General features: G+C 45.4%; 2 pseudogenes across 1 annotated transcript in view, besides 4 other annotated features; one reads left to right on the plus strand and one right to left on the minus strand.

The window, feature by feature from the left end:
• Positions 1–5,967, minus strand: part of GGT2P (gamma-glutamyltransferase 2, pseudogene) — a 51,709-nt pseudogene extending 45,742 nt beyond the window's left edge. Inside the window, exon 1 of the transcript NR_172944.1 lies at positions 5,683–5,967. The product of NR_172944.1 is annotated as a gamma-glutamyltransferase 2, pseudogene (transcript). The remainder of the gene's footprint in view (positions 1–5,682) is intronic.
• Positions 1,005–1,702: an enhancer, noted in NCBI's record as "NANOG-H3K4me1 hESC enhancer chr22:21609011-21609708 (GRCh37/hg19 assembly coordinates)". NCBI's record gives its function as "activates a minimal SCP1, AML or CMV promoter by ChIP-STARR-seq in primed H9 embryonic stem cells {active_cell/tissue: H9 hESC(primed)}" and the evidence as "EXISTENCE:reporter gene assay evidence [ECO:0000049][PMID:30033119]".
• Positions 1,703–2,398: an enhancer, noted in NCBI's record as "NANOG-H3K27ac-H3K4me1 hESC enhancer chr22:21609709-21610404 (GRCh37/hg19 assembly coordinates)". NCBI's record gives its function as "activates a minimal SCP1, AML or CMV promoter by ChIP-STARR-seq in naive and primed H9 embryonic stem cells {active_cell/tissue: H9 hESC(naive and primed)}" and the evidence as "EXISTENCE:reporter gene assay evidence [ECO:0000049][PMID:30033119]".
• Positions 2,399–3,096: an enhancer, noted in NCBI's record as "OCT4-H3K27ac-H3K4me1 hESC enhancer chr22:21610405-21611102 (GRCh37/hg19 assembly coordinates)". NCBI's record gives its function as "activates a minimal SCP1, AML or CMV promoter by ChIP-STARR-seq in primed H9 embryonic stem cells {active_cell/tissue: H9 hESC(primed)}" and the evidence as "EXISTENCE:reporter gene assay evidence [ECO:0000049][PMID:30033119]".
• Positions 5,257–5,759: an enhancer, noted in NCBI's record as "NANOG-H3K27ac-H3K4me1 hESC enhancer chr22:21613263-21613765 (GRCh37/hg19 assembly coordinates)". NCBI's record gives its function as "activates a minimal SCP1, AML or CMV promoter by ChIP-STARR-seq in primed H9 embryonic stem cells {active_cell/tissue: H9 hESC(primed)}" and the evidence as "EXISTENCE:reporter gene assay evidence [ECO:0000049][PMID:30033119]".
• E2F6P3 (E2F transcription factor 6 pseudogene 3) lies at positions 14,167–16,374 on the plus strand (annotated as a pseudogene).

Here is a 25,160-nt window from a genome sequence, read left to right on the forward strand (position 1 = left end):
TTTTCACAATAGAAATTAAAAGAAGAACGGGGCGTGGTGGCTCACGCCTGTAATTCCAGCACTTTGGAAGGCCATGGCAGAGGATCACTTGAGGTCAGGAATTAAAGACCAGCTGGTCAACATGGGGAAACCCCACCTCTACTAAAAATACAAAAATTAGCTGGGTATGGTGGTGTGTAATCCCAGCTATTGAGGAGGCTGAGGCACGAGAATCGCTTGGACCCAGGAGGCAGAGGTTGCAGTGAGCCAAGATCGTGCCACTGCACTCTAGCCTGGGCAACAGGGCAAGCCTCTGTCTCAAAAAAAAAAAAAAAAAAAAAAAGAAGAAGAAGAAGAAAGAAAACAAAGAAGAAAGAAAGAAAGAAAAAGAAAGAAAGAAAGAAAATTAAAAGAAGGAAATGCCATAAAGCATCTGGAGCAAAGAACATCCAAAGAAGAGCACTGATCACTGCAGCAGACAGCCATTCAGAATGGGCAGAGAGCAGAGCTGGCAGGAAGAGAGGACAAAAGGAAGACCAGGAAGGGAAGCCAGGAAAAGAGATTTTGCATTGTGTTATTATTTCAATCAGAAGACTTAGGAACATTATTTAATTATCAAATTTGTGTGTCTGATGATCCTTTACAACACTGCAGCATCAAATAAAGTGTTATCAGATTTCTTTCTTTTTTTTTTTTTTGAGACTGGGTCTGATTCTGTAGCCCAGGCTGGAGTGCAGGGGTATAATAATAGCTCACTGCAGCTTCAAACTCCTGAGTTTGTTTGTTTGTTTGTCTGTTTGTTTGTTTGTTTGGAGAGACAGCGTCTCGAACTCCTGGGCTCCAGTGATCCTCCCACCTCAGCCTCCCAAAGTGCTGGGATTACAAGCATGAGCCACTGTGCCCCAGCCCAACATCTGATTTCAAAAGTACTATTGATATTATAATCACCATTAAAAATCACTGAAGTTTTTGTCACCCAAAGTTTTACGTTGAAATATAGAACATTTCATTTTTTTCCCACACACCTCACATCTGCTTTTGATTTTTAACATGTGCATGAATTACCTCTTATTAGAAAAAAAAACACAAAATTTTTTGGTAAAAGAATTTTCCTTAAGTGGGTATTTTTTCCCTAAGTCTGAAATGACTTAGTAAGGATAAGAGGTCAAACCATATGCTTTGTAGTGAAACTGCAACTATGATGAATAACATTAGAATTCTGGATGCCTTCCAGCAGCTGGAACAGGGCAGACCTGAGGCGGGAGTCCTCATGCTTAGGGGAAGGGGCTCAGGCACTGGGAGTCGGTCAGGGCTCCCAGGATGTAAAAGATACACATGAAAGAAACAAACAGTGGGACTCGGGCCAGTGCAAAATTTGGCCTGGAACTGAGCTAAAAACTGTCATACTGGTGGGAAGAAGCAGATTGGTTCAACAGGGTAACCAAATGTGAAAAAGAAAAGCCTCACAAGAATTAAAATTGATGGTTGGAACTGGGCGCTCCGAGGCTGTGGGCCGGTGTCCTGCCCCGAAGGGTTTGGCTGCCAGCAGGTGCAGCGCTGCCCTGGGATACCAGCTCCTGGGATGCGCTGTAGTATCATCAATCACCGGTGCTGCTCGCTGGGCCTTGGAAGCACACAGTAGTAGCAGATGTCAGCAGGGGGCCACCAGGGCCACCTGCCAGTGAGCCCACTGCTTAGCTGAGTCATGGTCAAGTTTCTCTGCAGATTGTTGCCTGAAAATATTTCACCACCTGGAACCTCCCTGTCCCACCCATCTTCACTTGCAATACTCACTCCCCTCACCTCTGCCCCTAAAGCAATTATTCATTAACCACAGGGATCCACCATCCAGGAACAAAAGAGGCTTGAAAGCTCTATCTGTGCCTGCACTTCTTGGTCCAAAAGGCGCAGGGGGATGGGGGAGAGGCACCGGGGTCATGGTGCAGGCTCGGCTGTTGAGCCTCATTCCCCAAACACAATGTGACAGGTATCAATAGTTCTGGAGTTGATCATTTCACAGAAAGGAAACTGCTGTCAACCTGCCCAAGGCCACACAGCTAGTCCTGGATAAATTGACTTAAAGAACCCAGGTCTCTGATTCCCAAATCAGTGCTCTTACCCCTCCCACGCCACCTCTCTCTTCTAAAGATCCACCCAATGGAACTGCCCCAGGGCTGGTATCCCAGCTACTTCTCCATTCATGCCGCAGGTCAATGATTCAGGGCGGACACTCCTCAAGTGACCTTCAGAGGCCCTGACTCACTCCTCCGACAGTCCTTTGTGTCTGGACTCCCAGCCGCTCCTCAGCAGCTCTGTCCTCTTTTGTACATTTATTACTGTCAGCCTGAGGCTAGCAGGAGGTCTCAATGCCTGGTGATCTGAGGCCAGCCTGTCCCAGGCCCTCCCAGTCCCGTGAGGTCCTCCTGGGGATGCAGGCACAGCGACTGACAAGGATAAGGAGCAGAAGGGCAGGTGGCTTTCTGGGTGTGAGCTTGGCCTTCTGCCACACCCATGTTCAGAAAGGTGTCTACGGGCACATCTTGTGTTGTCACAGGTGTAGAAAGGGCTTTGACACGCGGCAGATCCTCCAATCCCTGTGAAAGAGGGATCATTCTTTCTATTATACAGTGAGGACGCTGAAGTCCAGAAAGGTCAGGTGACTGATGAAAGGTCATAAAATTAGCAGGAATCAGGGAAAGGGCAGGAAAGCAGAGCTTCCAGTTGCAAGGTCAGGACTCTTCAGCCCAGCAGGCGAGTTTGCCAGCCAGTCTGTGCCCTGGTCTCTGCCCTCCCCAAACACGTGCACCAATTTGGAGGGGCTGCTCCCAGCACGCATGCTGCAAGATAAACTTCAGTGCTCAGCCCTCTCACTGTGACAACAATCCCTTAGAAAGGGGTCCACGCTGTCCATCTGGGCCCCTACACCAAAGAACACCTAATTATCAGTGGTCCTCACTCAGGAAACATGCCCACAAATAAAGACAAAAGTAAACCCAACTACACATTCCTCAAAATCCTCCTCTCCATTTCACAGAAACACCACAACAGAGCAGAACTGCAACCTGATAGCATCCCTGTCTGGTTTTGGCTCTTTCAAAACATCAGGGACCTCACAGGAAAGCAATGCAGAAAACTGCAGTCATTTGGCCGCTTGTTAAGGAGAGCCCTGAGCAGCAAGCTCCAGACCGGAGATGCGCATATAACAGCAGCAGTTCCACACAGCCCTGCACAGCAGCAATTCAGCCTCTGGCAGCTGTGATGATGCTGAGGCAGTGTCCCCACTGCCCCAGTGGCTTCTGCATGCAGGTTCATTTGGGACAGGACACCTCTAACTCCATCTCTGGCCAGGAGCCAGCATAGTAGGTGCCGTGAAAGCCAGGAAGTGAACTGCACAGAATGGACTGTTCCAGTGTCCATGGGCTGCAAGTGGGTCCCACGTCACCCACAGGTGAATCTTAATTATGAACCAAGGTGACGGCAGAAAGGATGGGCAGCAAAGGAGGGTGTGTGTGGTGATCAGCCATCAGAGGAGACGGCCCTGTGTGATGAAAGGACCTCCTCAGGAAACCTCCCCACCAGCAACTGGCTCCAAATGGTCAGACTTTCCAAGAAATTCCTGTGAAAAGGACAGGCTCAGGGCATGTGAATGTGATAGTCAGCAATTCGCACCTCAGCAGCCAGTGACACTATGGTATAGGGAAAAGAACTTAGATTAGGCATCAAAAGTACCCGGTCCCCTTCATACATGGCTGGTGGGGAGGTAGGATGGTGCAGCCACTTTGGAAAACAGTCTGGTAGTTTCTTTCAAAGTTACCAAATGACCCAGCAATCCCACTCCTAAGTATTTACCCAAGAGAAATAAAACCTGTGTCCACACAAAGACTTGTACACATCCTAATAGCTGTATTCATAGTAGCCCCAAACTGGAAACAACCCAAATGCCCATCAGTTTGTGAAGAGATGGACAAAATGTGCTATATCCATAAAACGGAACCCTACTCAGCAATAAAAAGGTGTGAACTAGATACACACAAGAACATGGAGGGATCTCAAAAGCACTGTGCTGAGCGAGAGAAGCCAGATTCAAAGGGCTACACACTGTAGGATGCCATGTGCATCACATTCTGTACAGTGCAAAACTGTAGTGGCAGGATTCAGGTCCCCTGAGGCTGGGGTCCTGGAGGCAGGAGAGGGGCTGGTAGCAAGGAGGCACAAGGGAACTTTTTGGGGACAGAGGAGTGGTCCATATTTGATAGGTGGTGGTTGTGTGGCTGCTCATGTTTGTCAACAAAGAATTACATATTTTAAACTGGTGAGTTCCGTTGTATGCAAGCAAATTATACCACAATGAAGCAAATCTTTAAAACACTAGGTTCCTTTTCTTTATCTAGAGCTCAAAGTAGTGGCCCATGCTGGCTATGACTTGGAGAAATCACACAAGCTTACTGGGTCTCAACTGCTTCATTTGTACAGGTGGCTGCATAACACTCCCCGGGCAGGGGAACTGTAGGGATGAAATCAGCAAATGTGAGTGAACACACAGAGGAAGCAACACATAGGCCTTCCCCAAATACCCACTTCTGTTTTCTTTCCTCAGTGTGAGTAAGTGGCTCTAATGATCCACAAACCTTCCAACCAGCCAAGTCAAGGACCAGCAGGAGGACTCAGGAAAGTACTGAAATGCTGGGGAGAACCAGGACAGCGGCTGAGCACAGCCAGACAGGGAGGGCAGCCTGGTGGGGCCCTGGGAGCCATGGACGCGACTGCGCTGGGAGTGGGGATGGGAGATAGCAGGAGTTGGTGGGTGGGGCACAAAGTGGGAGCCAGGGCCAAATTGCTGCTGATTTGACCATTTTGCAAAAGGCCAGCCTGGCTGTGGCCTCAGGCCTCTCATTTCCTCTACCATAATGAGGGGTCACGGAAGTGCCTTCCCACAACTGCAGCATCTCCCTCCACATTTGGGCTCAAATACAGAGTGGGGCCGGAGACAGAAAAAGTCTCCGTGACACACTGTGATTTGTTTCTGCACTGTGTGAACCCTTGGCTCTGTGACACAGAACACAGGTTTCAGCAGTTCCTGTCACTTCCCACAGGCGAAACAGACAGAGCATTCTTTTGTCCGGCTTCTGGTGAAACGCCATTATCGTTATTTTTAGGAGGAAGATGGAGAATTGGGGTGGGTCCCCACAAAGAGGATGGATTCAGAAGACTTCCAGGAACCTTAAACGGCTTGGAAACTAATTGTGCCAGTTCTTTTTGATGTCTAATTTTATTCTAAAATTTCCTCTCAGCACAATATATTAATACTGATCAGCCAAGAGAAGGTTAGGTTTTGGCTCACAAATAGTCAAGGAGAGAATCTCCTTCATTCATTGAGAAGGCAGAAGATGGCGTTAAAGAGTATTCACAGGTAACTAAGATTGCCAGAGGGAGAATCGAGTGAGTTGTCAGTGGTGAAATACAGAGGAGGTAGAGAGAGCTACACTGAGACAACAAAGGCAGCTTAAGGGAACAAAGCCAGCTAAGGGAACAAAGCCGGGGTCCCTCAGGTCTGTGGCCACCGGCTCCAGCCAGGACAGCCTGGTAGCTGAAGAGCACATCCTTGCCCGTTACATGCCTGTGTTTCAAGTGATGCTAACTTGCTAATGCAGATATCTCCCCAAACCCTGCCCCTGGCTCACCACCCAGTGAGCAATCACTCACTTTCCCCAGGACACCTTCAGGGAGGTACTCTGCCAGCACCGCACACTTAAACAGCTACTGCAGGTTCTTCTCTCAGACGCAGCACGGTTCCTGAGATGACGTCAGCGCTGCTCGCTGAAAGCACCAGGCAAGGAGGCAAAACAAAGGAAATCCTAAAGAGCAGGCGAGAGAACAGTGGAACTGGCAGAGAGAGGCACTGGTGCGGATGGAGAGGGCAGCAATAAAAACTGGGGGACACTTAGAGGCAAAGGTATGGCAGGTGACAAAAAAGATGAGCTGAAGCTCAGGAGAGACCCAGGCAGCGATGCCCAAATGACCGGCTGAGGAATCACCTCACTGCTGCTGATGCCCTTGACAGCGATGTCTGAGGCTGGCGTGAGTGCTCCATGCTCAGAGATACCTAGAACCCAGCTACAATGGCCTTATCAGACTGAAACAAGAACACCAAGATATTCCAAGGGAGGTGACAATGGGGTCCAAAGGTTGTGCATTTATGGATCACAACTATGTGCTGAGTGTGGCCCAAATCCCAGCTCCATATGGTCACACCATGTCTACAGCCAATCAGCTGACCGGGGTGGCAACCCCTGGCTCTGCTCAACAATAATGACAACCATCATTTACTGAGCACTTACTATGTGCCAGACCGATGCTAAGTGCTTTCCTCAGATGTTTCCATTTAACTCTTAGAATCACCCTAATGAGTATCTCCTATTATTTTACAGATGAGGAAATGAGAGTTTAGAAAAGTAACTTGCAAAATCATACTGCTGGCTCCATAACAAATGTTGATTGAATGTTGTCTGGGTGGACAGAGGCAAGGATGACCGGAACGAGACAAACAAACAAAAGGCTGACTGACAGACCATTCGGGTAGCACTTTTCCTGGGATTAAGCTTAGACCTTGTAGGCCTATCAGCCAGAAGCAGTGTGTAAAATAAGAGTGGCTGACTGGGCACGGTGGCTCAAGCCTGTAATCCAAGCACTTTGGGAGGCCAAGGCGGGCGGATCACCTGAGGTCAGGAGTTCAAGACCAGCCTGGCCAACATGATGAAACCCCGTCTCTACTACAAATACAAAAATTAGCCGGGTGTGATGGCACACGCCTGTAATCCTAGTTACTCGGGAGGCTGAGGCACGAGAATCGCTTGAACCTGGGAGGCAGAGGTTGCGATAAGCTGAGATTGGGCCACTGCACTCCAGCCTGGGCGACAGAGCAAGACTCCCTCTGAAAAAAAAAAAAAAAAAGAGTGGCTACCCAAGAACGCAACAGCAGCAGCAAACACTGATCTGATGACACCCCAGTTTTGCAGAAGAGGAAGGAAAAATAAGAATGTCAACTCTCCATTCAACAGAGAAACAGTGCCACCACTGTCTTTAAATTTTCAAACTTATCGAGAAAAGCTCCAGAGAGGCCAGTGCCAGCAATGCCGGCTGTCTCCCAAGTCTGAAGGGTTTTCCTCTGGGTATTAGGAGTTGAGGTGTTTGGTTACAGAAGGAAACAGGATGCACGGGAGATCACACACAGAGTAAGAGGTGCCTCTCAAATGCCTTTCCCACGTTTCTAACTCTGCTTTTTTTAAAGCACGATCAGACCCGCCATCTGCACTTTTACCTGCTGCCTGACGAAAACCAGATGCCAAAGGCCTCCCAGCACTCACGGGGCCCTTTACCCTTAGGAAAACACCGTGATTCAGCCAGGCGAGATTGATGCAACATTGTAACAAAGCGTATGCAAAGTGCCTAGCTCCGGACTGCTTGCAGAAAAGGCACATTTTGACTCTTCTGAGAGTGGGAAAGATTTGAAAGATGGGATTTGCACCTTATTCTTATTCAAGTCTGGAGATCTGGAACTTCTTCCTGAAGCTCCATGTTTAGCCAGATAATTGAGACGCTCCACCTGGTCACCACTGGACACCAGCCACCCAAACATTCTCCTCTGCAAGGCACTTGGCATTCTGGTGCCTGTGGAGAGAGCAGCCTTCTCACTAGCACAGCTCATGAACAAGGATCCCCTTCCCTGGACAGCCAAGATGTAAACCTGCCCCCAGAAACACTGAGAGTCCTAGAGGTAGAATGAGTCGGCCAGCAAGCTCCAGCCCATTGAATGCAGACCCCTGAGCAAATCAAGTCAGGAGAAGGTGGACAACTGTACCCTGAAGACCACATACCACCCAGACCCAACACAAATAGCTGTCAGCACTGCCACCCATTACAGCTTCAGATCTCGCTTCTACCAGCATTTCCCAGCTGAGCAACAACCGTCAAAGTCTGGTCCTGGAAGGACAGCCCTCCCCGTCTTGGCAGCCACACTTTCTGGCCCTAGCCCAAGGCTGCTGTGGCATGGGAGGAATCAATGGAGGAATACATGGCTCTTCCCTGGTTCCTTCCTCTCCCACTTCATTGACTAACACTAGTCACATGGCCCCAACTGAACTGTGAGGGAGGCTGGAAAATCTGGAGTATGTGCATGCCTAGTGAGTTGCCTCTACCACATCCTCTTAACCCTTGGCCTCTCATTCCCAAAGTCTAGCCCTATTTTCAAATGAATTCAACGCCTCATTACTTAGATCTTTCCTCATTACCTCAAAGCCATAGTGGCAAAAAGCAAACAGCATCTTCCTAAAATCTTCCTCTTCCATCTTCCTCTCCTAGATATCCATCTTACCCTTCTTTGCCAGTTAATTTATTACAATCTTCCTTTGACAGCTTCACTCCCTCCCCGCACTGCTATCAACTCAAATGTGAGTTATTTCAGTAGCTTGAGCTTGTCACTGGCCTTTTACTTTTTTCCCCTTCCAAAGAACCTGGTACCCAGCTACTTAATCCTTATCCTTCTTCCCAAGGCCCACTTTCATTCCTTTCTCCCCCATTCATGAGCCTGCAATACTTTTCCCGCTGCATAAGTCACGTGTCACCATATAAACTCACAATTTGAGGTGCTCTAGAATCTGTCCACGGAATTAGTCAGGACATAATCTCCCTGTTTTTCGGCAGTGCCACATCCATACCTGTCTTCACAGGTTTGCTCATGCCACCATTCCTTTCCCCAGAACGCCCTTCTGCTCCTCCCACACAAATCCTAATCCTCCCTCAGGACCCATTTAAAATACAATCTCCTCACTCAACTCTTTCCTACCAACTTGCTTTCCCCTCTCCTTTCTGCCTTACCACAAAGCTAAGCTCTGTCTCTGAATAATGTGCTTTTTGATGATAATCTGAATGGTACAAGAAGAAATCCTATTTCATGCTCCTTTGAGGGAGTGTCTAATATAGGTTGCCTTCGACTATAAGTAGTAGAAAATTCCCACTCAACTGGCTTCAACAGTGAGGACAAAATGTATGGAGATTGGACGCTTCAGTCTTCAGGGGCTTGGCCCTCAGGGTTTTTCCCATCTCTTCCCGTCTGCTGGCCTCAACAAACCTGCTTTCCTCATTGCAACAAGATGGCTGCTTCACGTCCGAGAATCTAGTGAAAGAAGCTGTCCCTTCTGCATTTCCTTTTACAAGGAAAAACATCTTTCCCAGCATCTCCCAGCAGACTTCTCATACCTCAGTGGCCAAAACCATGTCTAAACTACGGGCCTCCAGGATGGGCTCAGCTCAATCAGCACATACCCTAGAGCTGGAGGCAGGGTCACCTTTCCTTGAGTGGCGTGTGGGAGAGGTGTGGCATCCAACCCAACTGGGTCCTGCCAGCAGGAAGAGAAAAGAAGAGCCACTGTAGGTAACCAATCACGTCTACCACAGGCAGGGACCAATACCACATATCTGTGTTTCCCCTCACTTGCCACCCCCATCCTGTGCTGGCAGATGAGGATGCTCAACAAATAGCTGTGGAACTACAAATTATCCTGTGGGTGTGAGAAAAGAGTGTGCATTATAATAGGGTGGTACAATTGGACATGTGTGCACGGAAAATGGAAAAACAGCCATGAAATCCAAACAGATGCAAAAACGTTCTTAACACAGAAGGTTTGGGAAGCTCTGATCTAAGCCCTAGCCTGGGCCCTACTCCCAGTTCCACAGATAGGGAGCAGGCCCCAGGCCAGAGTGCTGGGCTTCTCCCAGCAGGATCCAGCTGGGGCTTTCTCCTCAGTTCAACCCTTGCCTCTGAGGACCAGTGGTCTACAGTCCAGCCCACCACCCTTCAGACAGAAGTTCCAGGCACAAAAAGGAAGCTCACAATAAGGAACGCCCATGCCTAGCCATAACTGAGCGCATCACAGACTCACACAAATCTGTGGAATGAGTGCATGATCTCATGAGCTCTGGTCTGGAAAAGTAAGTCTCCCTACACTAGGACTTAAAGGGAAGGCTTCTTTGGCTATGCCAATATCTTTCCTGCCACTTTCTTCTTCAGGCCAAACAGCTCCTATCCCTGCCTTCCATCTTAGCTTTCCAGCATACTCTTCCCAGGTTCTTTGGGCTACTGACAAGCACTCCAGACCCAAATACACATGCTCCCACCTGAGGCTGGGAAATGTACCAAGAACTGCATAGAAAATATACTGGACAAAAGGCACTCCAGTCTCACAGATCTCCAGTCCCACAGTCTATATCACCAGTTTTAGCTGTTTGAAGTTTTAGAATTCCTTTTCAAAACCATAGCTAGCATTTCTTTGGCTAGAGAAAACTGTGTGAAATGCAGCCTACCATAGGATCACTGATTACAACATGCATTCAACATTCAATACATATTGACTGAGCAACTATTAGGTTGAACTATGTGACATTATTGACATTCGACTGCTTCTGACCTATCAAAATGGCAATAAAGCTCAACTTAATATTTACTCTATGCCAGGCAGTAGGCTAAGGAAGGATTTGGGACACCATGACAAACAACACAGAAGTAACCCCTATCTTAATGGAACTTAAAATCTAGTTGATTAAACCATTACTTACAAAAGTACAATCTAACTTCAGGATTGTAATTAATTATAAATGCATTTATTTGTTTACTGCCTGACTTCTTTGCTAGCCTATAAACTACACAAAGATGAGGGTTATGTCTCCTCCATTTCACACACTGGCAAAGCATATAGCAGAATACATCATATATTTGTTAAATGTATTGATTAGTGTTACAACAGACAATTGCATGTGCTATGGAAGCGTTTGGCAGAGAGATCTAATCTAATCTTGGAAGGTGAGGATCCTGGCCATCACTAACTTGGAATTTCTGATACTGATGATATAAGGTTGAGTTATGTCTTCGTGAAACAGGTCTCTATACAGCATATAAACAACTACCAGCATGCACAGGGGTTCCGTAGGGACTATTTAAAATACTTAAGGGAACAAACGGTTTTCAAGCTCAGTCTAGTATTTCAGAAATTCCATTTACATAAACAATTGGTGCACTAATTGCAAATCATTCTTATTTCTCTCCTAAAGCAGGATCCCCTAAGGATCTTTATTAGGCATTCTATTAGCCTAGTTTGAGTTACAGTATTTACTTAAAAGTAATAACAGTGAAGTTCTTGAAAAATATTTGGTAATTCAGACATTTTACTAATTCAAACTAATCTTCCTCATTAGTCTACGTTGTTAGAGGTTTAACCATTGTATTAAGAGAAAGTATCAAAGGCTTCACTTAGAGTAATAGTCACCAAATTTTTTTGCAAGACACCTTGGTAGCAGGAACCTGAGCTAACATCAGGAGGTAGGTAGAAATAGAAAATAAAGGAATGACAATTTGAAGAGCAACTGCAATCCAATTTAGTCCAACAGATGACACACATATGAAGTCACATTCAAATTATAAGCAGAGCACAAAAATATTTTAGATCCTTATCTTTTGATTAACCTGGTATCATTCAGGGAAAAATGTCAGGGAACACCACTGACCAGCAGTCCTCTCTTATCTATTTTGCAGATCTTATCTATTTTTCTCCCTGAGAACCAGCCCTGGACACAAACTGCATAAACATCAATGAGCCTAGACAGGGTCTTCATGTGTGTTTGGCCTGCCATTGTTCTCTGTACCAGTACGGAGATTTAGTAACACACTGGTCACATTCATGGGGCATCTTGAACTCTCTTGACATGGTAAATGAACAGCAGGTCCTGTTCCCATGCCAAAAGCAAACAAAAACCTGTCACCAGCAAGGAAGACACCCAGTCTCTCCAAAGGATGCCAAAGTCCACATCCAGCCTCCTTTGCAGAGCCTCACAAATCTCTCGGATGCAGGCAGGATGATCACGGGCTAGGGAAGATTATGCTCTGAATGTCTTAAGAGATTAGTTACTTAAAATCCTCCACATGACTTCAGTCATCCCCGTTGCAGATCACAGAGTAAAAAGCCTACCTGATTAAAGCTGAATGCCTATACATTTGCAAAAGGGAAAATATGCAGAAGAAAACGAGAGTCAGATACTGATGGGCATAGCACCAGCTCTAGGACATCAGAGGTGTTGAATAAATGATGACAAGGAGGCACACATAGTTCTGATATATTCACCATAAATACCACAGTCCTCAAGGCTCTCTCAATTACTTACTTCCCCCCAAATCAGAGACTGAATCTGGCCTTATCTTCAAATGAGGCCCAGCTCTCCCCAAATTCCAAATATGGGAAATTACAGCTCCTCTGTGGTAGGGGGAAGAGTGGGAAGGCGAATGTTTGTATTGCATAACGTTTTAATTAAAACAAAGATGACGTGCACCAGAGTCTCTTTCTCATCTCCTGTTAGGGGCGTTTTCCAGTACTACTTCCACCCTTTACCCACCCAGGTCACCATGGTCTTTTTCTTCCCTCTAGGACAATTCACCTTTAAAATAAGAGGATTGGGCAAGAAATCTACAAAGATTTTTCCAAAATGAACTCAGGCCTAGAGGCATATTAGTTCTCTATCTTGTTGCTCCCTTCTAGAAGTGCACAGTTCAGAGGGATGCCCAGCCACAGAGGTGCCAAAACGCAGAGCTGGAACCAATCACCTGCTCCAACAGAGACAAGGTGAAAGCACTGGGCAGGGTGCTCAGAATGTGCTCTTGCTTCTTTGTAATGAAATATCAGAAGACAGATTGTAACATTGTTCAGCAAGCTATTTTTTGTACTGAAACATCAGAAGGCATTATGAAACTGTTCAGCAAATCATCTCTAAACAATGTCATAAAGGGTTACCTAGTTTGGGGTAAGCCCGGAATGAATATCTGCACCATCATTCCTCCCGCTAACAAACATGTCCATCTATGTGAAGCATAATTCCCAACACACCACCATCTCCAAACCAACACCAAACCACTGCCAAACAAAGCTGAAGAGGAAAACCAGAAAGGTCTCCGAGAAGTGCTGCTTGCAGGGAGAAGAATGGCCCTGCACAGAGGCTCCTGAGGGCAGCAGGTGCCTGCTTTGGAGCCTTGGCAATTTCCACCAGGCAGAATTTACAACCGTCTGGGACCTGCAGTCTCAGAGGGCTCACGGAGAAGGGGGAAGCTCTTGGCTACCCGGGAGGTCACCAGTGACTCTGAGCAAAGTGCAGATCAATGCCTGCTTAGGGTTACCCCCAGGCTGGGAGAGGGCATCTGGCAAGGAACAGACCTGGAAGAGCCTGCCCCTCTTTGAGCTGCTACAGCAGCTTCTGGGAATTTGTAAGAGCCATACTGATGAGGGTCCCACACCCTCCCTTGCCAGGGCGCCCTCAGGGAGGCCACACTGCAGGAGGCAGAGTATGAGGTGGGGAAGATGGATCGGCCTTATCCTCACCACCCCCCATACGAGTCTCCTCTGGTATGGATGGTGTCTCCTCTCTGGTGGGAAGTATGTGATTTCTCTATTTCTATTTCTCTTTTGTTCGGGCTTCCTAGAAATTCAGAGCTAGGTGTGAAATTCCCAATTCCCACAGACAAGCAACATCCCCAGCAGTAATAAGGACGTTCCACACACCCAGGACTTGGGATATTTGTGTATTTTCAAGAATAAAAGTTTGCCCTTTAGCCTCCTCAGAGCCCCCTCCCTTCTCCTCGCTCTCCCCTTACCACTGCTATTCATCATCTTACTCCTACAGATACCCCCTCTTCGTGGTGGCACCGGGCACTAGTAACTCATGGCTGTAAAGAAGAGCTGAGAACAAAACAGGAAGAAAAGAGGTTAAGTAATGGCAAGAAAAAAGATGTACCTTAGGAATAAAAAAGAGTTCCCGAATGTCACAGTGTATTTAATTAATGCTTCTATTTATTAAAGATTAAAAATACATATCAGGTGACGACTTAAAATGTTAGTCATGATTTTAACTGTGAATTCTGTGGCACCGGAGATAACAGAACAATGAGTGCTTGTAGAAGGCACTCGGTTATTTGTTGAATGAACTTCTTGGGAAAGCCTTCTTAGGAAAGTATTAGAAGTAGATTCTGCTAAAACAGGGGCTACCCTCAGAGGTCTCAGGACAAGGGATAGAAAGTCAAACACTGATGTTTAAGAAGGGATGCCTATGACACATGAATCCCACAGCCATCTCTCCAGAAGAGCAACTATTTTGACTGCGCATGCGGGAAGATGGCGGGCCGGGCGACTTGAGATCCGCGGGTCTCCCTGCTCCTTTTCCGTCTGCGTCGGGAGCTCCCGGGCACGTGAGGCCGTGCCGCGTTTACTGGCGGGAGGGACGGCCTAGCCGGGCGACGCCTCGGAGGAGGCCGCGGACCCCTTAGGTGCTGGGCCCTTGGAAATCGGCGCGTGGGGGGCGGTGCTCGAGCTGAGCGCGAGAGGGCGGGAGAGCTCGTGGGGTGCGAGGGGAGCAGGACGCCCGGCCGGGCAGCATGAGTCAGCAGCGGCCGGCGAGGAGATTACCCAGTCTCCTCCTGCACCCGACGGAGGAGACCCCATCAACGTGGAGGGCCTGCTGCCATCAAAAATAAGGATTAATTTAGAAGATAATGTACAATATGTGTCCATGAGAAATCTGCTCCCGGGGGTATTCTTGACTTAAACAAGGTTGCAACGAAACTGGGAGTCCGAAAGCGGAGAGTGTATGACATCACCGATGTCTTAGATGGAATCGACCTCGTTGAAAAGAAATCCAAGAACCATATTAGATGGATAGGATCTGATCTTAGCAATTTTGGAGCAGTTCCCCAACAAAAGAAGCTACAGGAGGAACTTTCTGACTTACCAGCAATGGAAGATGCTTTGGATGAGTTAATTAAGGATTGTGCTCAGCAGCTGTTTGAGTTAACAGATGACAAAGAAAATGAAAGACTAGCATATGTGACCTATCAAGACATTCATAGCATTCAGGCCTTCCATGAACAGATCGTCATTGCAGTTAAAGCTCCAGCAGAAACCAGATTGGATGTTCCAGCTCCCAGAGAAGACTCTATCACAGTGCACATAAGGAGCACCAACGGACCTATCGATGTCTATTTGTGAGAAGTGGAGCAGGGTCAGACCAGTAACAAAAGGTCTGAAGGTGTCAGGACCTCTTCATCTGAGAGCACTCATCCAGAAGGCCCTGAGGAAGAAGAAAATCCTCAGCAAAGTGAAGAATTGCTTGAAGTAAGCAACTGATGGCATTTGAGAATTTATGTATCACTGAGTTTTTTGGGAATATCTTCCTGGAGAATTACGCATCAAATTTGATTCTCAGAGCAATAAATTATCCATGAAGTGCTCTCGTTCTCAGTAGCGGCATCATGGCCAGTAGTGTCTTTGAGGAGTTCACCACTTAGATTACTGAGTAATTGTGGTTTCCACATTTGAAAACAACTCCTTTTATAATTATTCACTGCTTTTTGTCAGTGAAATAGACATCTTGCCTCCTGAAGTAGCTTCATCACAGAGTGTCATGAAGACAGACAGTCAGGCTGAAAAGGACAGTTCTTTGTGGACTCTACCCTTCCCTTCAAGGAGTATGTCATATGTCACAAAAGAAATTGCCTTACACTGGTTCATGTTTGCAGTTACTGTTGTACATTGCATAGATGTACACACGAATTTAAATGTGATGTCTTTGTATATATCTGTATAATGTTGAGATTACTTACGAAATATGTCTGAGTGACACTTTTCACTCTCGTACAGCCAAAATAATGTATATATGGAAAGTGACAGACAAATTCTCTAATCTCTTTGGTATCTATAACTTATTAGAATCCTCTGGATGAGGGTTAGAAGAGACTTTTTCCAAACTTCTACATGTAGAAGTATCATAAATGTGCTACACATTTATGTTTGTGGATTTAATTAAAGTATTTTAATATGGTTTTCAGTGCTAAAATTGGAGTCAGATACTTCTTGGTTTTAAGCTGTCTACCTAATTGCTGTCTCCCAGCAGATCGGTGGCATGCCCAGTGGCTTTGGGGGCAAGGATAGAAATGTCATCAGGAAATAGCTGAATTCATTGTGAAACATGAATTCAGTCATGGTGATAATTGGAAACTCCTTTCAGGTTTTTGCAAGTAGATTTTGTAATGTTTGTGTATGCAGCCTTGCTGTTGAGTCAGTCCAAGGGGTTTTACTTAGGACAAGTTGTACCTTGCCCTCTCTCCAGCTCTGCTCCCACATTTTCACATACCTAGCTATTTCTACCTCATTGGGTAAGTCATTTACCACTCTGTGCCTCAGTTTACTCTGTAGTTTACCATTAGACTGTGAGCTCCCTGAGGGACTTTGTCATAATCACTGTTACATCCCAGTGCCTCACACCATGCCTGGCCCTTAAGAAGTGCTCAATAAATGTCTGAACAAAAAAAAAAAAAAAAAAAAAAAAAATCAGGTCTAAAGATGAGCCATCCAAGAAACTGCTCTTGCTCCCAGAGGTTTTAAAGAAAGTCATTCCCATGAACGTGAGAAGTAACCCAACACTTTGAAATGATAATCTTTTTACAGCAATAACTGTTGCTGCAGGGCTTGAGAAAAAAAGTTCTCTTCCTTTGGGTTAAAGTCTTAAATGCTGAGCCCGTAGCCAGCAACCTTAAAGACTACTCGGGTCCAGTTCATTCTATCTGGAGGAGTCACTTGGGAATTGAAAACACAGGAAAACTTTTTTTCTGGTCCATGAACAAACAAGAACGCTTAACTGAATTAGACACAAAACTAAGTATTTATGGTTGTCATCTTAACAGGTTTCAAACAGGCTTCATTTTAATTTAACATAATTTCAAAATTATAGCAAAATAGTCAATAAAATACGAACGTGCTTAATTTGATGAATTTATGTGTTTTTTGAAGAAAATATGCAGAATAAACAAGTCAATTATTCTCACTAAATACATTAAAATTTAAGGGTAATATTTTTATTATGACTTGCTCTCCTGATATAGCAAAATTTATTGTTATATAGTTATGGAAGGAGGCTCACTACTCCCCAATGATTTCACAAATTACAGCTTCAGCCAGCTATAAAATAACCAAATCAGTTCTGATATAGCCATAAAATTAAGCCTGAAAAAATAGTGAAGTAAATCATCCCTTTAAAATCAAGTTGTTGAACAATATGTTCTGCATGATTCCATTTATGTCAGAAAAAATATATTTGTGTAAGTATATACACAGAAAAGGGTCTGGGAGAATATATACCAAACTATAAAGAATCTATATCAAAGTCAATAAGGGGCATAGACAAGGAGGGGAACTTTCACATTTTACTTTCCACATTCTTTTTTTTTTTTTTTTGACGGAGTCTCACTCTGTTGCCCAGGCTGGAGTGCAGTGGCGCAATCTTGGCTCACTGCAAGCTCCGCCTCCCGGGTTCACACCATTCTCCTGCCTCAGCCTCCCGAGTAGCTGGGACTACAGGCACCCGCCACCACGCCCAGCTAATTTTTTTATATTTGGGGTTTCACTGCGTTAGCCAGGATGGTCTCAATCTCCTGACCTTGTGATCTGCCCACCTCACCCACCTCAGCCTCCCAAAGTGCTGGGATTACAGGCGTGACTTTCTACATTCTTGTAACAGAATTATAGTCACCGTTACCTCCATCAAAAAATTAAAATTCAAAAATTAGGCCAGGCACGGTGGCTCACGCCTGTAATCCCAGCACTTTGGGAGTCTGGAGCAGCAGATCACCTGAGGTCAGGAGTTGGAGAGCAGCCTGACTGGCCAACATGGTGAAACCCCATCTCTACTAAAAATACAAAAATTAGCCGGGCGTGGTGGAGGGCACCTGTAATCCCAGCTACTTGGGAGGCTAAGGCAGGAGAATCACTTAAACCCGGGAGGCGGAGGTTGCAGTGAGCCAAGATTGTGCCACTGCACTCCGGCCCGGGTAACAGAGCGAGACTCCATCTCAAAAATGAATGAATTAATTAATTAATTAAAGCAAACAAATATAAGCTACCTCCTGAAGTAGAAACCAGTATCTCTTCACCTTACCTTTACATAATACTTTACCCTAATGCATTTTATCTGCTGTTCTAAATCATGACTTACTTCAAATCAAATCTTAAGTGAAAATCAAGATTTCCTTTTGGGGGCATTATACAAAAAAGACTGTAAAATTTCATTCTCTGAAAGTCTTTTTAAAAAGGGATAGATTGTATCTGGCTGGGATAGGGTAGGTGTGATCGGACCCGGAGGAAATGACGGCTGCTCAACTGTGCATCTCCTTTCCTCACCCTGCTGAAAAGTGCCACCTAGCATGGTCAATCAAGGTCACCAATGCAAAGCAGTAGTGGGCAAACACCACCCAGGTTATCCAAAGCAGCACATGGGGTTGGGAAACTGATGACCTTGGAGATTTCAAAATCACCTAACAATAACCCCACCTTCCCTAACCACAGGGCTAAGCAACCTAATGGATGGAACATATGTGTGCTTTGGTCATCCGCAACCCAGACCACTAGACTAATTTTGCTTTAGAACTGGACTATATCAAGTGTGAACGATCATACTTGTTATCATGTGGGAAAAAAGGTTTAATTACTCCCTAATTGTCTGGGAAACAAAAGATTTCAAAATATGGAGCTCCTGGGGGAAGGAGAGTTAATAAAATGGGTCCTTGAGAAGTGAAGTGGGAAGCCTGCCTCATGCCATGGCACCAGCGATGCCACAGGTGTACCCAGTGCCCTGCCGAGAGCAGAGACGGTGTTCTCAGAGTTGCTATCAAAAAGGAGGCAGCAGACTGCATTCTGAAGCATCAGACAATGGGTCACATGCGGAAACAGAATTAAATACACAAAAATAGCACCAACTTAAGGCAAGCCTGGGCAAACTGCACTACATCAAAGAAAGAACACACAACTGGTATCAGATTTTTTTTTCTGTTTTAATAAAGAGAAGGCCTGGACACCTGAAAGTTGACGGGAAGCAGGCATCACTAATTTCTCCGAGTTCACAGTTTTGTTAGAATGTCTTTGCTCTGATTATGGTTTTATTTATTTATTTTTTTGAGATGGAGTTTTTTTTGTTTTGTTTTATTTGCTTTTGTTGCCCTGGCTGGAGTGCAGTGGTGCAATCTCGGCTCACCGCAAACTCCGCCTCCCAGGTTCAAGAGATTCTCCTGCCTCAGCCTCCCAAGTAGCTAGGATTACAGGCACCCACTACCACGTCTGGCTTCTTTGTGTTTTTAGTAGAGATGGGGTTTCACCATGTTGGTCAGGCTGGTCTTGAACTCTTGACCTCAAGCGATCCACCCGCCTCAGCCCCCCAAAGTGCTGGAATTACAGGCATGAGCCACCACGCCTGGCCTGATTATGTTTTGATGGATATACAGAAGCTCTTGCTTTGGTACAGAAACAGGCCCCGCTTTGCTTCGACCTCTGGGCCCCCCACCTTCAGAAATGTCTGGTGCCATTCCTGGCTCCTCCTCTCAGTGGTCTTCCAGGATATCCACTCACAGCTTTCTGATGTCACCCACCTGTCTCTAGCCCAGATACCCAGTCCTCATGGCAAGTGACTGCAGCAATTTTTACAAATCTACGCCCTTAGGGTTCCCATCCCAGGACGTTCAGGTTTCTCCACCCCTTTAGAAGTGCCCAGAATATCCCCTACCCCACGATTCCAACAGGACGTCACTCTCCTCTTACTTAAGAAAAATGCCTAAAATTCCAGCCCTTCCAAAAGGCCTTTCTAGATTGACCACTCAGGAGTTACTCTGGCCTCCCCTTCACTCCTGCTAGACTGAAAACAAGGACAGACTTGCCTGGCCTCTCTCCCCCAGTAGACACCTACCCCCAGTGAACACATCCTGTCAGTGTCCTCCCGTCCATTTGCAAATTGATTGACTGTTTCATTGCTGGCCTTGGATGACCTCTCCTAGAGGGCAGGGACGGTGGTGTTCGGCAAAGCCTTGGTCGTCTGGATAATGGGAAATGGGGTCTTCTGGTGAATTTAATTACAGGGTTAGGTGGAAACTTTGCTTCAACTCTCATTATTAGAAAGTCTATTGTAAAGCTTTTTAAAATACAACTGACCACTTTCCAGCGAGGGTAGAGTTAATATGCCTTAATCTTTGATTTAGGATCTTGCAGTGCCCCAGGCTCACCATTCTCTTCTGCTACTATAATTATAGATGCGGAAGACATACAGACTGGGCTGACAACTGCTTGGAAGCTAATTTCTAGAATAAACCCTTGCTACCACATCTTGTGATTTTTGCCCTTCTGAAGGTGGAGTTCCAAAATAAAAACAAAATCCCGCTTAACTGAGGGTTCCAGTTGAGGGAGGTCTGCTGCCATGGTCTTTGTTAAGTGCCTGCCACCATGGCCCACAATTAGTCAGTTAATAAAGGGTTCTTGATGAGAGAATTTGGCAACATGTGATTTTCCACAAATATAAGCTTGATTTTGATGCAACCACTCATTTCTTTGAAAATCAGGGGGCATTCACACACAGGTGTTCTAGATTTCCTTACAGTAAAACCAACCCTTTACAAGGAATAGCTGTGTTCACTTTGAAGCAGTAAAGAAGCAGGTGTCCACTCATGGCAAATGAGGAACTCCCTTTTTTTTTTTTTTTTTTTTTTTTTTTTTTTTGAGACGGGGTCTCGCTCTTTTTTTGTGTGTGTGAGATGGGGGCCACCCAGGCTAGAGTGCAGTAGTGCAATTACAGCTCACTGTAGCCTCAACCTTCTGGGCTCAACCAGTTCTTCCCACCTCAACTTCTGAAGCAGCTGAGACTACAGGTGTGTACCACCATGCCCAGGTAATGCTTTTGATTTTTAGTAAGATGAGGTCTCGTTATATTGCCCAGGCTGGTCTCAAACTCCTGAGCTCAAGTGATCCTCCTGCCTCAGCCTCCCAAAGTGCTAGGATTATCGGCATGAGCCACTATGCCCAGCCAGAAGCTAAAAATATTAATCAAGGAGTCACAACTAAGGATGCACTGCACACCCGAAGCCAGGGACCACAAGAGGTCAGCAACTGGGACTGCTTCCTCCAGTTCCCAGGCTGGGGCTCAGCAGCAGTGGCCTGGGCTCTGGGGACTTACTTTAAGCCGAAATCCCAAACTCATTATCATTCAAACCAATTTTCTGTGTCCAGCATCATCCCACCTAAACTGGTCCTTAAAACCACTGACAGTCATTTCTCCAATCTGTAAAAGGCCTGCTGAGGCCTTTGCATTATCAGGACTTAACTGGGAGTAGAATGCCCTCCCCATCCAAATCCTGACCATTTCTGAACACTCAGCCCATGTCCTCTTCCTGAGTGTCTTCCCCAACAACAACCACCTACACTGAACTTTACTTTGATCTCTGCAGGAAACTGTAGATAGAGATGGGGTCTCACTATGTTGCCTAGCTGGTCTTGAACTGCTGAGCTCAAGTGATCTCCCTGCTTCTGCCTCCCAAAGTGCTAGGATTACAGCAGTGAGCCACCACACCTGGCCTATGTATGCTTTTTTTTTTCTTTTCTTTTTTTTTTTTTTTTGAGACAGAGTCTTGCTCTGTGGCCCAGTCCGCAGTGCAGTGGTGCAATCTCGGCTCATGGCAACCTCCAGGTTCAAGGCATTTTCCTGCCTCAGCCTTCCAAGGAGCTGGGATTACAGGCACGCACCATCACGCCCAGCTAATTGGCCAGGCTGGTCTCAAACTCCTGACCTCAGGTGATCCACCCACCTTGGCCTCCCAAAGTGCTGGGATTACAGGTGTAAGCCACCACACCGGGCCACGTATGCATTTTAAAACGTTATGCTCAGACGGGGTCTATAGGTTTCACCAGACTGCCAAAAGGATCCATGACACAAAAAAAGTACTCTCAGTTGCATCCTTCGGAACCTTTCAACACATACACATATACCTCACTCATCCTTTTGTGAAGAGTGTCTATTAATCACTAGATTAAGAGGATTTGGATAAAATTTATAAATGTACAAACTTTGCTACCAAGGACTGACACATTTACTTTTCTAGCTCATCAGTTTATGTCCTAGAAAAATTCCAGAGCCACATTAACCAGCTGTTTCCTATTTTTCATTTTACGATGGTGTTTCCACTTTCACCTGCAAAGTGACTAATAGTAATACCTATTACAGTAATTTAAGTAACACCATTTAGAGTAATTTCATCTTTAGTACTGTATTTATACTACTAAGAAAGCCGCCAACGATTCAAGCTGCACTCACTGGTGAAACCCTATGCTATATATGTAATTAATTTATTTCCTAAATTCTTACCTCCCTCCACCCCCTCCATTGGAAAATAAACTCTAAGAATGCAAAAGTTTTTGTGTGTTTTTCTTCAACGCTTAGAGCAGTGCCTGGCACCTAACAGTCAATATCTGCTAACTTTGATGAATGAATGGTATATTTATATTATGCAATATTACTATGCAGCCATGAAACACAATGAGTTAGAGTGGTACCAGCTAATTTAATGGAATTTCCAGAAGTATGAAATTAAGAAAACAAGAAGAAAAGTGTCAAAAATATCATCCCACTTTTTTTTTTTCTTCCCTGAAACGGAGTCGTGCTCTGACACCCAGGCTACAGTATAGTGCTGCCATCATGGCTCACTGCAACCTCAACCTTCTGGGCTCAGGGAATCCTTCCACCTCAGCCTCCCATGTAGCTGGGACTACAGGTGTGTGCCACAACGCCCAGCTAATTTATTTTAAATTATTTTTTGTAGAGACAGGGTCTCCCTATGTTGCCCAGGCTGGTCTCAAACTACTAGGCTCAAGTGATCCTCCCACCTCAGCTTCCCAAAGTGTTGGGATTACAGGTGTGAGCCACTGTGCCCAGCCCAATCCCACTTTTTAAAAAGTATACCCCCAAATCCATACACTGGTGAGGAAGTGGAGAACGTGGAATCCTCACACACAGAATGTAAAATGGTACAGCTCTGGAGAACATTTTAGCAGTTTCTCAAAATGTTTAACGTAGCTACTACACGACCCAGCAATTCAACTCCCAGATATACACCTGAGAGAACTGAAAGGATATGTCCACACAAAAATTTGCAGAGGAACTTGTACACACTTGTTCACAGTAGCATTATTCATAATAGCCCAAAGTGGCAAAAACGCAAATGTTCATCAACTGATGGACAAATAAAGCATGAACAACTGATGGACAAATAAAGTATATCATTCAGCATATAAGAAATGAAGTGCTAATACATGCTACAACAGGAATAGACCTTAATAACATTTTGCTAAATGAAAAAAGCCAAACAAAAGGTCACATGTTGTATGATTCTATTTACATAAAAATACCTAGACTAGGCAAATCCATAGAGACACAAAGATCAGTGACTGCCCAGAGCCAGAGGGAGTGGTGAATGTGAAATGGCTGCTAATGAGTACAGACTTCTTTTTGAGGTATTGAACATGTTATGGAATCAGATGGTGGTGATCAATGCATAACTTTGTGAATATACCAAAAACCACATGAAAGGTACACTTTAAAAGCCTGAATTTTAAGGTATGTGAATTGTATCTCCATAAACCTGTGATTTTGTTAATATACGCTTATTTGCAAATGAATACATGGATAATGAGGAATAATATGAAAGGTTAATGACAACCTTGGTGATAGGGTACAGGAGACTGGGAGAGGAAGATAAGTGTTGAGGTAGAAGAAGACAAAAAATAAAAGGCTAAAACAATAATCCAGGGCCAGAGGCCATGAGTTGGGAGATGGAGCAAGACGAAGTGTACAAAGAAATGAGCATAAATCATAAAAATGAGGGAACTAGGGTTGAAAACTCCAGCAAGTAGTTTGTAATGGGGGAGATGAAGCAAACCTAAGTAACTGCAATGATTCAACGGAATTTGCAGAAAATGCAGAAGGGCGAGAAAAGCAATGAAAAAATGGATCAGAAGATTTAAAATTGGCTCTACCCCACCAAAGTTTTAAAAAGCAAGCAAGAAGAAAATTCAGTTGCTCCTGGGCAAGAATTCTTGGGCCCAGTGGGGTAGAACCAAACCATGATAAGGAGACACCAGTGTTTTGTAAGCAAGAGAATATATTAAGGAGAGAAAAGGGGCATTTATTGGGAGAAAAGGTCTCACTGTGATTGTTCTGGAATAAAGTAGCCCCATCGGACTGCCTCAGGAACTCATGGTGGAAGAGGTGCCACTGGAAAATGGCTAAGTCGGGATCTTCCCCAAGAACACTAGAAGAGACAGAGGAAGAATAGAAGAGCTTTAAATTTTAGCAGATATTTCTTTTTCTTGTTTAATTAAAATAAATCTTATTGACCTAATATTTTTGAGACTGGGCTCTTGCAATGCTCCCCAGACTGAACTCAAACTCCTAGGCTCAAGAGATTCTTCCACTTCAGCCTCCTGAAAAGCTGGCACTACAGGTGCACACCACTGGGCCCAGCATAATGGCTATTTCTTGACAAATCTTGACAATGCCACCAGTATGTTTTTCTTTAGAGACAGAGTCTCGCTTTGTAGCCCAGGCTGGAGAACAGTGGTGTGATCCTGGCTCACTGCAGCCTCAAACACCTGGACTCAGGAGATCCCCCTGCCTCAGCCTCTCAGGTAGCTGAGACTACAGGTGCGCACCACCACACTTGGCGAATTTTATTTTATTTTTTTTTATTATACTTTAAGTTCTAGGGTACATACACCTGGCTAATTATAAAATGTTTATCTGTACAGACAGGTTCTCGTTATGTTGCCCAGGCTGGTCTCGAACTCTCGGCCTCAAGCAATCCTCTCCTCCTCACCTTCCAAAGCCCCGAAATATGCCCACATCCAGCCTGCCACCAGTTTCTTTGCATACTTCTTTCCTAGGCTTGACCAAGACCTTTACTTTCTTCTGTGTACAGCTCAGCATTGAAAAAAAACAAAAAAGTTTAGGCTGGGCACAATGGGTCACGCCTGTAATCCCAACACTTAGGGTGGCCAAGGTGGGAGGTTTGCTTGAACCCAGGAGTTCCACACCAGCCTAGGCAAGATGGCAAGACCACATCTCTCCAAAACAATTTTTGTAAAATTAGCCAGGTGTGCTGGTGCGGGCCTGCAGTCTCAGCTAGTGAGAAGACTAAGGCAAGAGGAACCCTTGAACCCAGGAGTTCAAGGCTACGGTGAGCTGTGATCACCTCTCCAGCCTGGGTGATAGGGTGAGACCCAGTCTCTGAAAAC

This window comes from Homo sapiens, chromosome 22, assembly GCF_000001405.40.
Source record: "Homo sapiens chromosome 22, GRCh38.p14 Primary Assembly".
In the NCBI taxonomy this organism is placed as follows: domain Eukaryota; kingdom Metazoa; phylum Chordata; class Mammalia; order Primates; family Hominidae; genus Homo; species Homo sapiens.